This window comes from Homo sapiens, chromosome 10 (genome assembly GCF_000001405.40).
Source record: "Homo sapiens chromosome 10, GRCh38.p14 Primary Assembly".
In the NCBI taxonomy this organism is placed as follows: Eukaryota; Metazoa; Chordata; class Mammalia; order Primates; family Hominidae; genus Homo; species Homo sapiens.
In genome coordinates this window covers 77,858,436-77,870,368 of record NC_000010.11, presented here as the reverse complement: position 1 = coordinate 77,870,368, position 11,933 = coordinate 77,858,436, and the positions used below count along the sequence as shown (strand labels likewise).

Genomic DNA, 11,933 nt, shown 5'->3' with positions numbered 1-11,933 from the left:
TTGTTGTGGAGCCCAGGATCTCATTAGTTCTTGGCAGCTTTCTGATGCCAGAGCCCTAAGGCTTGTTCAAAGCCCTTATTGCAAAAATTCCATCTCCAGCTCACCCACTTGGCCTGGTACATACCGCTCTTCATTGTATAGTTCTTTTGGCTCCAAGAACAAAACACTGGATTTGTCCTTGTTTTATCTGACCTGCCATCTCTGTGTGTTATGCTTTGTCCACTCCCAATTTAGTCTCTGAGTCAGTTTGCCCTCCCTTTTAATTTTATGTCATCCATAGTCTTGATGAGCAAAGTGTACCTTCTGTTTCCATTAATCATGGAAATTGCTGAAATGGGATGGGGGATGGGGGATGGGGGATGGGGTAGGGACCTTATAAGCCATCTGGTTGAACTCCTTCATTTTGCAGACCAGGAAACAGAGTTCCAGAAAACAAAAGCTACTTGCTCAGCACGACCCAGCTATGGGCACCTACATAGAGCTAGGTTCAGAAACTGGGCTTCCCGGTGCTGGGAGGGTAACATCTGGTTTTGAAGATATTTGAATTCAAACCAAACCACAGTGGTTGTGTGTCCACAACCAGGAATTAACATTAAGTGTGGACAAAAAAAAGTGCTACCCTCTGGCTTTGGTGATGGTACAATTGCTCATCATTTTAGGAGTAACTTTTAATAAGGGGGCAGATACTAAGTAAATTATTAAGAACTGAGCTTGAATACAGTTAGAACCTAAAGAGCAGAACAGTCAGAGAAAGAACAGATAGTTCAGTTGTTCTTTAATTTCTGCTCTGTTACCCTCTGCATGGAAGCCAGAATCATATTGCTAGAGATGTGGAGGAAACCCCCACACCCCATGTTTACCTGGGGCATGTCACTCCCTTGCTAAGCCTTTCCCCAGATGTCCCAACAAGAAGCCAGCTGACTGACTCCAAGTTCCCCTCTGCCCGCCTGCCCAGAGCAGGAGGGGCCGATAAAGTGAGGTGGGAGGCCTGGCAGAAACACCGAAGTCCAGATCTGCTGAGCGCGCCTCCTCTGCTTGGCCCGTGGATGTGGATTTCTAGTGCCTGGTGCATGTAGCTCTCATGGCCTGGCATTGACTGATGATCAGCTGGCTTGGGGTGAAGACGAGTGACCCCTTGGGGTTAGTAACATGGTCTCCCCTCTTTCCCCAGGTTCTACCTACAGCGTCCTGTCCACCATGCCCTCAGACTCAGAAAGCAGCAGCTCCCTCAGCAGTGTGGGTGAGTACCACTGTCTGGGGAGGACACCGGGTGGGCCAGGGGTCTGGGTGAAAGCCAAGGCAGCTGGGGTTCATGGGAGAGGAAGCTGGTTCTCCCTTGTCAGATTACTCACAGGATCATCCTTCCGTTGATTTCATTTACATTTTCTCCCATCATCAGAAACCCAGTTCTGATGTTAGAAGGAGGTGGGGAGGTGAGTGCTGGGAAGCACATGTTTTGCCATTGTTTACTTTGTCAGGGCACAGGGCTTCTAGGGGAGCCTGTTGACCCACCATCCCCACCCCAACCCCAAAGGCCTTGTAGTAACTCAGTGACCACTGCCCAGGAGACTCACCCCTTTTGGAGTTTCCTTGGGGATAGGCATTGCCAGTCCATGCTGAATTGGGTGTGTTTCTCTGAATATGGGTTTCAGAAAGCCCATAAAATGAGGCCAGCCCTTCTCTGAAGTCCAGCAGGAAGGCCGCAGTGGTTTCTCAGGCTTCCCACACCTCTGTGACCCATTCCCTCTGTTTAGCACCTCTAGTGGGGTTTCTCATGGCCTGATCTGACCATGATGGATGCAGACACCTTCAGTGGTGAGTCCCGGCCATCTTTTGAGCCCGAAGGACTCACAGAGGTCATCTACTCCAATTATTTTCTTTTCCCTCTGCAGAGAGATGGGGAAATTGACATTCTGGGAGGGGGAGTCACATGCCTGAGATTCTAGAACTAGTCAGGACAGCTCTTTCATATGTCAGCTCACATCTTGAACACCTCCAGTGTGCCAGAGGTGGGCTTGGGCCGTAGTGGCGAATTAGGCAGATGTGGGCCCCACACTCCTGGATGTTAGGGTCTTTTGGTGGGAAACAGTTAAATAAGTAGCTGCAGTAAGGGAAGGTAGTGTGATAAGAGGGAAGACAGTGACCAGCCGGCGAGTTCCATCTTAGTTTTCTAGGGCTGCTATAACAAAGTGCCGCAGACCAGGTGGCTTACACAGCAGAAATTGATTGTCTCACAGTTCTGGAGGACAGAAGCCCAAGATCAAAGTGTCAGTGAGGCCACGCAGGCTGAAGGCGCTAGGGAGAGATCTGTCCCGGGCCTCTCTCCTCGCTTCTGGTGGCTTGCTGGTAATCCTTGGTGCTCCTTGGTTTGCCGACATCACACTGATCTCTGCCTTTGTGTTCACATGATGTTCTCCGTCCATGTGTGTCTGTCTCCAAATTTCCCCTTTTAATAAGGACACTGGTCAGATTGGCCTAGGAGCCTGCCTTACGGCAGCAAGACCTCATCTTAAATTGATCATCTGTAAAGACTATTTCACCATCAGCAATAACTGCTGTGGGCTGAGCAGTGTCCCTCTCGGGACTCCCCTTTTAGAATGCAAATGCGCCTCGGAAAGATAACGCTTTGACCTTTCCAAATAAGGTTCACATTCACATTTACTGGATTGGGACTTTAGCATCTTTTGGGGGGCCACAACTCCACCCATAAAAACACAGTTCCTCCCATAACCCTCATCCTGTTTAGGGCTCAGGGCAGGCCCTTCTGGGACTGCAATTCAAAGCTCCCAACGGTATCCTATTACTTTGTTCTGCCTGCTTTTGGTGCCCGGAGACATATCAATGGAATGATGGGATTGTTGGAATTTGGAATGTGGGACTCACCCTTCAGGAAGTGCATGGAGTGGGGCAGTCAGGATCAGTAGATGGGGAAGGTGAGGCTTTTTAAGGTGGACTGGGTAAGCCCTGAGCATACTCCTCTGACCTGTCTAGTTTTTCACCCTTCACCAATATCTGTCTAACAGATAGCAATCAGTAAACTCATTCCCATCGGCATTTCAAGGGTTAAATCGTTACCTTTCCTAGGCACATGTGCATTCTAAAAGGGGATTCCAGAGAGGGGTATTTGCCTAACCCATAGCAATTACTGCTGATGGTGGAATTCCCAGCCTGAGTAGGAAGATATTTCTTGGGCAGCTGGACCCCAGCATATTCTGGAAGAAGCGTCATGGCCGTGACCCACCAGTTGGTTCTGCACTCACCTGAAGCTGACTCAGTCCTTGCGATGGAGCCGTCAACAGTATCTCTGTGCTCTTCCTGGGCATCACAGGCAGGCAGAGTGCAGTGCTCTGATGTGTTTCTTGGAGCAGGATGGGTCTGTACTGTCTGTGTCTGGATATTTAATGCTGAAATAACTGGTTGCATCCCTTCTGGGCAAAGCCTCTTGAGTTCACAGGGAACCGAGTTTTGCTTCTCTTGCTCTTCTGCTTGAGATTGCCATTGTCCTTTGGGTGCAGGCAGCAGGGAACACCCACTCATACCACCTTAACCAATCAGGAAATGTATGAGCTCCCATATGAGGCTGTGCTGAGGTCAGCCAGTACATGGGGATGCAGCTCTGCCCTCCTCTGTGTGGTGTCTTCACACAGTCTCATGGCGGGGTGTCTGTAGCAGCAGCTCCAGCCATCACATCCAGACCTGACAGTGTCCAGGTCTGCAGTGTCCAGTATGGGCGCCACTAAACACAGGTGGCTACTTAAATTTAAATGAATTAAAATGAAATTTAAATTTCTAGTTTCTCAGGCAAATCCACCACATTTCAAGTGCTCTGTAGCCATCTGCGGTGAGTGGCAGAAGAAGAAGGCGGGGTTCTTATGAGCAAAGGAACCTGTTCCAGAGTCCATCAGTATGGCCTCCTTTCATTGACCACAGTTGGCTGCTTGTTTGTGCCGAAACCAGTGGCTCACAAAGCCTGGTCGCTGGACCACTGGGGCACTTATTAGAGATGCAGGTTTGAGCCTCCTCCCACCCCTGCTGCATCAGAAACGCTGAGGGTTTCTACAGCTTAATAGCCCTCCAGTTTGAGATGGGCTGGCCCAACCTCATCCCTGAGAAGGGAACCAGAATGTCTGTACCAGGCTTGTACCAGTCCCTCGGGGTGGAGTGCCTGGTGGGGCTGGCCCTGGCTGGGAGCACTCTAGCACCTGCCAGGGAGTTCCTGCTGGCTCAGCCACACCTGATGAGAGGCAGAAGTCTTTGCAAGCACACACCGCCCTGGCAGGAGGGGCCGCTGGTAAGGTCACATGGTGATCTTAGGAACCTGAGAAAAGGCAAGAGCAAGATCCTTATAATAAAAACATCACTTCCACTTTTCCATTTACATCTCCCTAAATGGAAACGGCTGGGAAAACAATGGCAGGTTGTATTCAGCATGAGAAGAAATTGGAGGCTGAAGCCTGGGGCGTGTAGACAGCGTTCTCTCAGGCGGTCTGTCGGGTCTCGGATCTCCAGCCTGGCCCTACTCACAACTCGCCACACCTTTGCCAACAGCCTTAAAGGCAGCAGGTCTTTGTGCCAAGGCCTCCTCGGGCAGTTTTCATCAGCTAAGCACACACAGCTTCCCCGAGGCCCTCCCCCGCTTCCTGCGCCTGTTGTTGTGACCTGCCCCCGACCCTACCTGGTGGATCTGCCTGGGGACTGCACACTCGTTTCAGGCAATCAGTACTTTTTTCCTCCCCATTCATCCTGACCTAATTTCTCAGTAGCCTTTTATTTCTCATCTTGGAAAACTGGGGAGGTTTTAAGGAGGAGAAGAGACATTCTTGGGCAGCACTTATAAAGCCAGCCTTAAATTCCATGAAGATTGAAATAGCAGAAGATTTCTTATTAAATGGAGAGGTCTCCAGGCTTATCGGCAGGAGAAATTGCTGGAGGGCTTCTCTCATATCCCAGGGAAGATTCCTTGAAAGTGCTTCTTCTGGTTGACAGGGGAAGGTGGGGTGAGCCATCAGGGAAGTGGGGGCTGCCACTGACGCCCTGTGACCTCTGATCCTTCATTCCTGGCCCAGACTTTTGGGTCAGGGGTAATCCTTTGCAAAGCCAATTTATCAGAGATGGGAATGCCTCCTCCTTGTGGGGCAGGTGTTTGGTACTCATAGGGATCACGGTGAACACGGCCCCAAATGTTATCACACTGCCAGGGAGACAGGCACTGTCTGGCACGACTGGCTATTCTGTTCTGTGTAGAGCAGAAAGAAAGAAGTAACTCAAGGGAAGAAGCAGTTAGTTCTGATGAGGGGAATCACAGAAAGCTTCCTGGAGGAAGTGGCCCTTGGACTGGGCCTTCCAGGAAAAGTGCTCTGGACTAGATGCAGCTGGGAAGTAGTTGGCCATGGCTGCTTATGGTGGTTTGGGTTCTGAAAACCAGACCCTGAGTCAAGGGTTCGAAAGCAAGTCTTTGATCTGGCTGGAGATCTGGGGCCTGGGCTTCCAGCATTGGAATCTAACCTCCTTTCACTCCAAGCTGGGGAAACGCTGAACTGGAGTCATGTACTCATTGACTAAGAGGGGTGTCCCCCTTAGGCCTTCATTGTCAAGGACATCAGTGGGGGATTTCTTTAAAGGCAGTGGCTGCTGGATAGCCAGTAAAACAAAGGAGAAATATGCAAATGCAACTTTGGTCTGGAACAGAGGTTCTCAAACTCTAGCAGGCATCGGAATCACCCGGAGGGCTTTTACCACACGGAGTGCTGCAGGGACTTACTCCCAGGGTTTCTGATTCAGTGGGTCTGGGTGGGACCTGAAATTTTGCCTAGCAGGTTCTCTAGTGAAGCTTAGGTGCTTTAAGAAGCACTCGTTCACCCCAGGCAGGGCCTGGGTCTTTCCTGGACGGCTCTGGGTGTCCTGAGTTGTAGGTGAGGATGACGTGGTGCTCTGATGACTGTGGCTCTGGGTGTCCTGAGTTGTAGGTGAGGATGACGTGGTGCTCTGATGACTGTGCTCTGCCACTGCTTTGCCTCTCCCGGGCAGCCAGGGCCTGGAGGTGGCCAGGAAGTTTACCTGGACATCTCTCTGGCTCCTGGAAGCACAGGCATACAGGGCCTGGAAGCAAAGGTGAGACCTGCCCAGCTGTAAGACCAAGGATGCGCCTCCAGGGTCAGTGGGAGCATGACAGTGAGGGAGCCCAGGACAAAGGGCGGTGGCTGAGAAATCCACCCAGCTGCCAGTTCATTTGCTGAGCCTCGGTGGTGGTGACCATAGCAGCCAGGGCAACTGAAGGAGCTGAGGATTCCTGTGATGGGGACACTCCCTTCTGCCCTCCTTCTTACACCCAGGTCAGAGGGAGGCTGGCCGCCCCAAGGTCCTCATGGCTGGAGACTGAGATGGGTTGTGTTGGGACGGCTCTGAGCCCCTTCCTTCTGTCCTGCTTCCTTCTCTCCTCTTCCAGCTTCCTCGTAAGGCAGGGCTGTGTCTTCCTGTTGCCTCCTTTACAAAATGGGGGTGAAAAGAGCAGCGCAGGGCTGGCTGCTCTTTGTCTCCATCCAGAGCCTGCTCCTGATCTGGTGTCTTCCTGTTTTGGGCCATTTTAGTCCAAACCAAATCCCTTACCTCTGAAATCTGATCCTGAACACCAAAAGGAAAAGGACAATCTGCCTCCTTCTCCAGTGGTTGCCAGACTTGGGTAAGGAAAGCCTGAGGTCACGGGAGAGTTGACAGCTTTGCATTTGAGTCCAGAAGAACAACTGCACAAGGTTAGAACTGCATTGGAAGCTTTTGTTGGCAGCTACTTTGGAGGCTTTTGTTGACAACCCAGCTTTATGTTAGTTTCTGTTTTGCCTGTTTTTAAAAAGTTTACTGTAAATAACCACAGTGACAGCAGAGGAGGTTGGTCCTCATCTCTTTACCTGTCAACATCACTCTTAGGATGATGGCTTCATTCAGGGCATCACAGTTTGGTTTTCTTAAAAAAATAGGCTAGGTGTGGTTGCTCAAACCTATAATCCCAGCACTTTGGGAGGCCAAGGCAGAAGGATTGCTTGAGCCCAGGAGTTTGAGACTAGCCTGGGCAACATAGTGGGGCCCTGTCGCTACAATAAATAAAAATAATAATAATTAGCCAGGCATGGTAGCACACCCCTGTAGTCCCAGCTGCTTGGGAGGCTGAGGTGGGAGGATTGCTTGAGCCCAGGAGGTGGAGGTTGTAGTGAGCCTTGATTGTGTCACTGCACTCTAGCCTGGGTGACAGAGCAAGACCCTGTCTCAAAAAAGAAATTTTTTTTTGTTAAGGTTATGTTCATTGAGATATAATTTACATACAGTAAAATGTATTTTTTGTAAGTATACAGTTCAAGTTTTGACAAATAGTCATGCAACCATTGCTACTTTTAAGATGCAAAACACTGCCCTCTGTATCTTAAAAATTCCCTCTGCACTTTTGCAATCTGCCCTTTCCCCACCTTCAGTCCTTGGCAGCCACTCATCTCTTTTCTGTCCCTGTAGTGTTGCCCTTCCCAGAATGTCATATGAATGGTTGTGTAGTATGTAGCTTTTAGAGTCAGGCTTCTTTTGATTAACGCAGGGCATTCCAGCTTCCCCCACACCCTGTGTGTGTCCGCAGTTGTATTAGTCATTCATCCCTTTTCATTGCTGAGTAATACTCCATCATAAGGACATAACACAGTTGTTTATTCATTCCCTAGCTGCTCTAAACAGCTGTGTGCTGGTTTTTGTTTGAACATAAATTCTCATTTCTCCTGGGTAAAATACCTAAGAATGGGATTGCTGGGTGGTATGGCAATTGCATGTTTAGCTTTATAAGAAACTGTCAAACTGTTTTCTGAAGTGGCTGCATGACTTTGTATTCTCATCAGCAGTGTTTGAGAATTCCAGTTTTGAGAATCCAGCTGTATCCTTGCCAGCATTTGGTGGCATTGCTTTTTATTTTAGCCATTCTGATGGGCATATGGTGGTAAAGGAACTTCATGGTTGTCTTCAAATGCTTGCAGGTCTATTGCATACAAGAAATCCAGTTGTTCCCTGTGGCCCTTAGGGGTTAGATCAAGGGTCAGTGGAGGGAATGTCCAGGGACAGATTAACTCAGTAGAGGGCATAATTTTAGGGAGAGAGATAAGATGGGCTCTGCTGGGAAGTAGTGAGCTCCTTTGCTGTAGAATTTGGTCTTGGTGGCCATTTGAGGGATCCTGACAACCATTTGGATGGTAGGACTGCATCATTTTCAGAATATCTGTCAACCTCTAGATGCAAGTAAAAAGACAAAAACTTCAGTTGAATGGGGATTGAGAGGATTTTCTGCAACCCTTGCTGTTCTTTTGGAACTTCTGGGCGTAGCACATCTTGAGATTGGTCATGAGGTCCCCTGTGGCCCTCCTTGGCCCTCCCCATCCCCCAATTACAAAAGGCCGGAGGCATCGGCTGCACTTTCTGCTGGGTCTGAGAGCCTGATGTGTGATGGATCTTGGGTCTGGTTGACCTTACTTTCTGTATGTGTCCTGTATGCTCAAGCCTTTGGGCCAAGAGAAGTGGAACGAGAATCCTTCCCTATTAGGAGGCATTGTTGTGGAGTGGTTGAGGTGTTGGCTTTGGCGTCAGAGCTGAGTGTGCATGGGAATCCCATTTTCCTAGCCATGTAGTCTTTCTGACGTGTTTCTCAAGGAGCAATCCTAGCACAACCCCAGTAGGGAGCTGTGGAGATTAATGAGTTGAAGGTAGAGTGTCTTTAGCACAGAACCCAGTGCTTGGGCAGTGCTTGGCACATGTCGTTGCTACTTTATCTGTGTGGCCAGCCACGCCCAGGTCCTCATGGCTGTAGACTGAGACGTCTGGAGACAGAGATGGGGTGTGTTGGGATGGCTCTGAGCCCCTCCTTCTGTCCTGCCGCCTCCTCTCCTCTCTCCAGCTTCTTTGAAAGCCAGGGCTGCATCTTTATGTTGCCTCGTTTATACAATGGGGATGAAAATTCAAAATTTCTTGTCTCCCCAAAGGCAGGTTACTGGGCCTGGTGGTGCTTTTCTGTTGTGAAACTGGACATTTGATGTTTCTCTGCTATTTCTTGAACTTGACTATAGCATAGAATAGCCATTCTGAAAGTGTGGCCTGATGTCCCTGAGGTCCTTTCAGAGGGCTCGTGAGGTGAGACTGTTTTCATAATGATACTAGGATGTCACTGGTCTTTTCTGCTTCCATCCTCACATGGGTGTAGAGTCTAGTTTTCTAAAGATTCCATCCTGGGTGTGTGACATTACAGAGATGAGACTCCAGCTGTCTCTGTGAAGCTGGATGTTAAACAGCCTGTGTAACAAAATGCAAAGCAATGATGCTGTTCCTGCCGCATTGCTTTGTTTTGTAATGGAAAGGGTGGTTAATGTCTCATAAAAAATCTTATGTCAATATATAATGGAGTTTTGATTTTTTAAAAAATAAGTAAATATTTAAAAATTCTTCTTGGTTTTAATTTCTAATCTTGTAAATTTTATTAGACATAACATCTGTGAACAAGAGCTCTTTGGAGTGCCAGATAAGTACAGAGGTCCTAAGATCCAAAAATGTGCAAGTTTTGAGGTTAATACCTTGGGTTCTAGGATCATTTAGAGGTCCATATTCCATATTCCATAGCTCTGTGACCTGGACACACTATTTAACCTTGGTAAGATTGTGTTTCCTGATGTGCAAAATGAGGATAACAGTGATATTTACCTTATGAGGATCGAAATGGGATAATGTATGAAAAGCATTTCAAAAACTGCCAGGCATGGCCGGGTGCAGTGCCTCACGCCTGTAATCCCAGCACTTTGGGAGGCCAAGGTGAGTGGGTGGATCACCTGAAGTCAGGAGTTTGAGACCAGCCTGGCCAACATGGTGAAACTCCATCTCTACTAAATACAAAAAATTAGCCGGGCATGGTGGCGCATGCCTGTAATCCCAGCTACTTGGTAGGCAGAGGCAGGAGAATCGCTTGAACCCAGGAGGTGGAGGTTGCGGTGAGCCGAGATCGCGCCACTGCACTCCAGCCTGGGCAACAAGAGTGAAACTCTGTCTCAAAAAAACAAAACCAACCAAAAAAACCCAAAACCTGCCAGGCTTGCATTGTGTGCTACTGGTGGTTGTTATTTGGGAGGCACCGAGGCATGAGGGTGAAGTGCATGTGTTTAGAATCCAGACTGCCTGGGCACTTGAGTCAATTACCTAACCTTGCTGGGCCTCAGTTTATCACCTGTGAAATGGGGACGATGTTATCAGTACACACTTGTGAGGTTGTTGTGAAGGTGAAATCAATGCCTGGAACATAACCTCCCCCTGGGCTTGGTTAGAGGTTGAGTAGCAGGCACGTTCAAAGGAAGCTCCACTTGTTGGAGAGTCAGGTAGGTTATGGTCAGTCAGATGACTCAGCACCATCACCCACCTGACCCACAAAACTGCTGGGGGCAGCAGTGAAGCTCAGGGTCTTTTGGTGGAAAGGTGTGGGAAGACTTCGAAGCTGCAGAGGAGACCCCTTTGGGGAGAGGAAATGCTGACCCCTGGCCTCACCGCCAAAGAATATTTTGACCCCAAAGGTGCGGCCTGGAGCAGAGAAATCCTGGCTGTCATGATGCTGGTGGCTTTTAAACACAGTCTGTGTTGCTTAATGACAGGGACACATTCTGAGAAATGCGTTGTCATTTGGTAATTTAGTTGTTGTGTAAACATGAGTGTGCTTACACAAACTTAGATGGTATCTACCCCATACCTAGGCTACACGATATGGCCTGTTGCTCCTGAGCTGCAAACCTGTACAGCATGGTACTGTACTGGCTACGGTAGCCAGTTGTAACACAATGGTAAGTATTTGTGTGTCTATACATAGAAAAGAAAAGCTGCAGCAACAGTACAGAATAAAAGATAAAAAATGGTCCACCTGTACAGGGCACTTACATGAATGGAGCTTGCAGGACCTGAAGTTACTCTGGGTAAGTCAGTGAGTGAGTGGAGAGAGAATGTGAGGGCCTAAAACATGACTGTACACCGCTGTAGGCTTTGTAAACACTGTACACTTAGGCTATATTCGACTTACAGAAAATATTTTTCCTTCTTCAATAGTAAACTGTTGCTTACTGTAACTTTTTTACTTTATAAACTTTATATTTTTTTAACTTTTTGACTGTTTTGTAATAACACTTAGCTTAAAACACAAACACATTGGGCCGGGTGTGGTGGCTCACGCCTGTAATCCGACCACTTTGGGAGGCCAAGGCAGGCAGATCCCTTGAGCTCAGAAGTTTGAGACCAGCCTGGGCAACATAGCGATACCCCGTCTCTAACAAAAAATACAAAAAAATTAGCTGGGTGTGGTGGCACATGCCTGTAGTCCCAGCTACTTAGGAGGCCGAGGTGAGAGGATCGCTTGAGCCCAGGAGGCAGAGGTTATAGTGAGCTGAGACTGCGCCACTGTACTCCAGCCTGGGTGACAACAAGACCCTGTCTCAAAAAAACACACACACACAAAAAGAATACACACAAACACATTGTACAGCTGAATATTTTCTTTCTTTATATCCTTATTCTATAGGCTTTTTCTATTTTAAAAATGTTTAATTTTTTTGTACTTTTTTTGTTAAAAACTAAGACACAAATATATTCATATATTAGCCTAGGGCTACAGAGGGTCAGGATCAACAAGACGTCATTAGGTGACAGGAATTTTTCATCTCCATGGTAATCTTTTAATTTATTTTTTTTAGAGAGAAGTTCTTGCTTTGTCACCCAGGCTGGAATACAGTGGTGTGATCTCGGCTCACTGCAGCCTTGACGTCCTGGGCTCAGGCGATCCTCCCACCTCAGCCTCCCAAGTAGCTGTGACTCTAGGCACGTGCCACCACACCCAGCTAATTTTTTGGTATTTTTTGCTAGAGACGGGGTTTCGCCATGTTGCCCAGGCTGGT

The 11,933-nt window shown here is 48.3% G+C and overlaps 1 protein-coding gene across 12 annotated transcripts in view, besides 3 other annotated features; it reads left to right on the top strand.

The window, feature by feature from the left end:
- Window positions 1-11,933, top strand: part of DLG5 (discs large MAGUK scaffold protein 5) — a 149,946-nt gene that overhangs the window by 70,368 nt on the left and 67,645 nt on the right. For 11 of the 12 annotated variants that reach the window (XM_047425998.1, XM_005270276.5, XM_006718056.4 and 8 more), the window contains exon 2: window positions 1,172-1,240. In XM_047425998.1, coding sequence (XP_047281954.1) covers window positions 1,198-1,240 — 43 coding nt within the window. In that variant the 5' untranslated portion in view covers window positions 1,172-1,197. Of the gene's footprint in view, window positions 1-448; window positions 486-1,171; window positions 1,241-11,933 lie in introns of those variants that run through there. The other variant, XM_017016913.2, reaches the window with a different exon arrangement.
- Window positions 1,915-3,114: an enhancer, noted in NCBI's record as "CDK7 strongly-dependent group 2 enhancer chr10:79627013-79628212 (GRCh37/hg19 assembly coordinates)". NCBI's record gives its function as "activates an origin of replication core promoter dependent on BRD2, BRD4, P300/CBP, MED14 and CDK7 cofactors, with strong dependence on CDK7, by STARR-seq in HCT116 cells {active_cell/tissue: HCT116}" and the evidence as "EXISTENCE:reporter gene assay evidence [ECO:0000049][PMID:35650434]".
- Window positions 3,654-4,411: an enhancer, noted in NCBI's record as "H3K27ac-H3K4me1 hESC enhancer chr10:79625716-79626473 (GRCh37/hg19 assembly coordinates)". NCBI's record gives its function as "activates a minimal SCP1, AML or CMV promoter by ChIP-STARR-seq in naive H9 embryonic stem cells {active_cell/tissue: H9 hESC(naive)}" and the evidence as "EXISTENCE:reporter gene assay evidence [ECO:0000049][PMID:30033119]".
- Window positions 5,929-6,688: an enhancer, noted in NCBI's record as "H3K27ac-H3K4me1 hESC enhancer chr10:79623439-79624198 (GRCh37/hg19 assembly coordinates)". NCBI's record gives its function as "activates a minimal SCP1, AML or CMV promoter by ChIP-STARR-seq in naive and primed H9 embryonic stem cells {active_cell/tissue: H9 hESC(naive and primed)}" and the evidence as "EXISTENCE:reporter gene assay evidence [ECO:0000049][PMID:30033119]".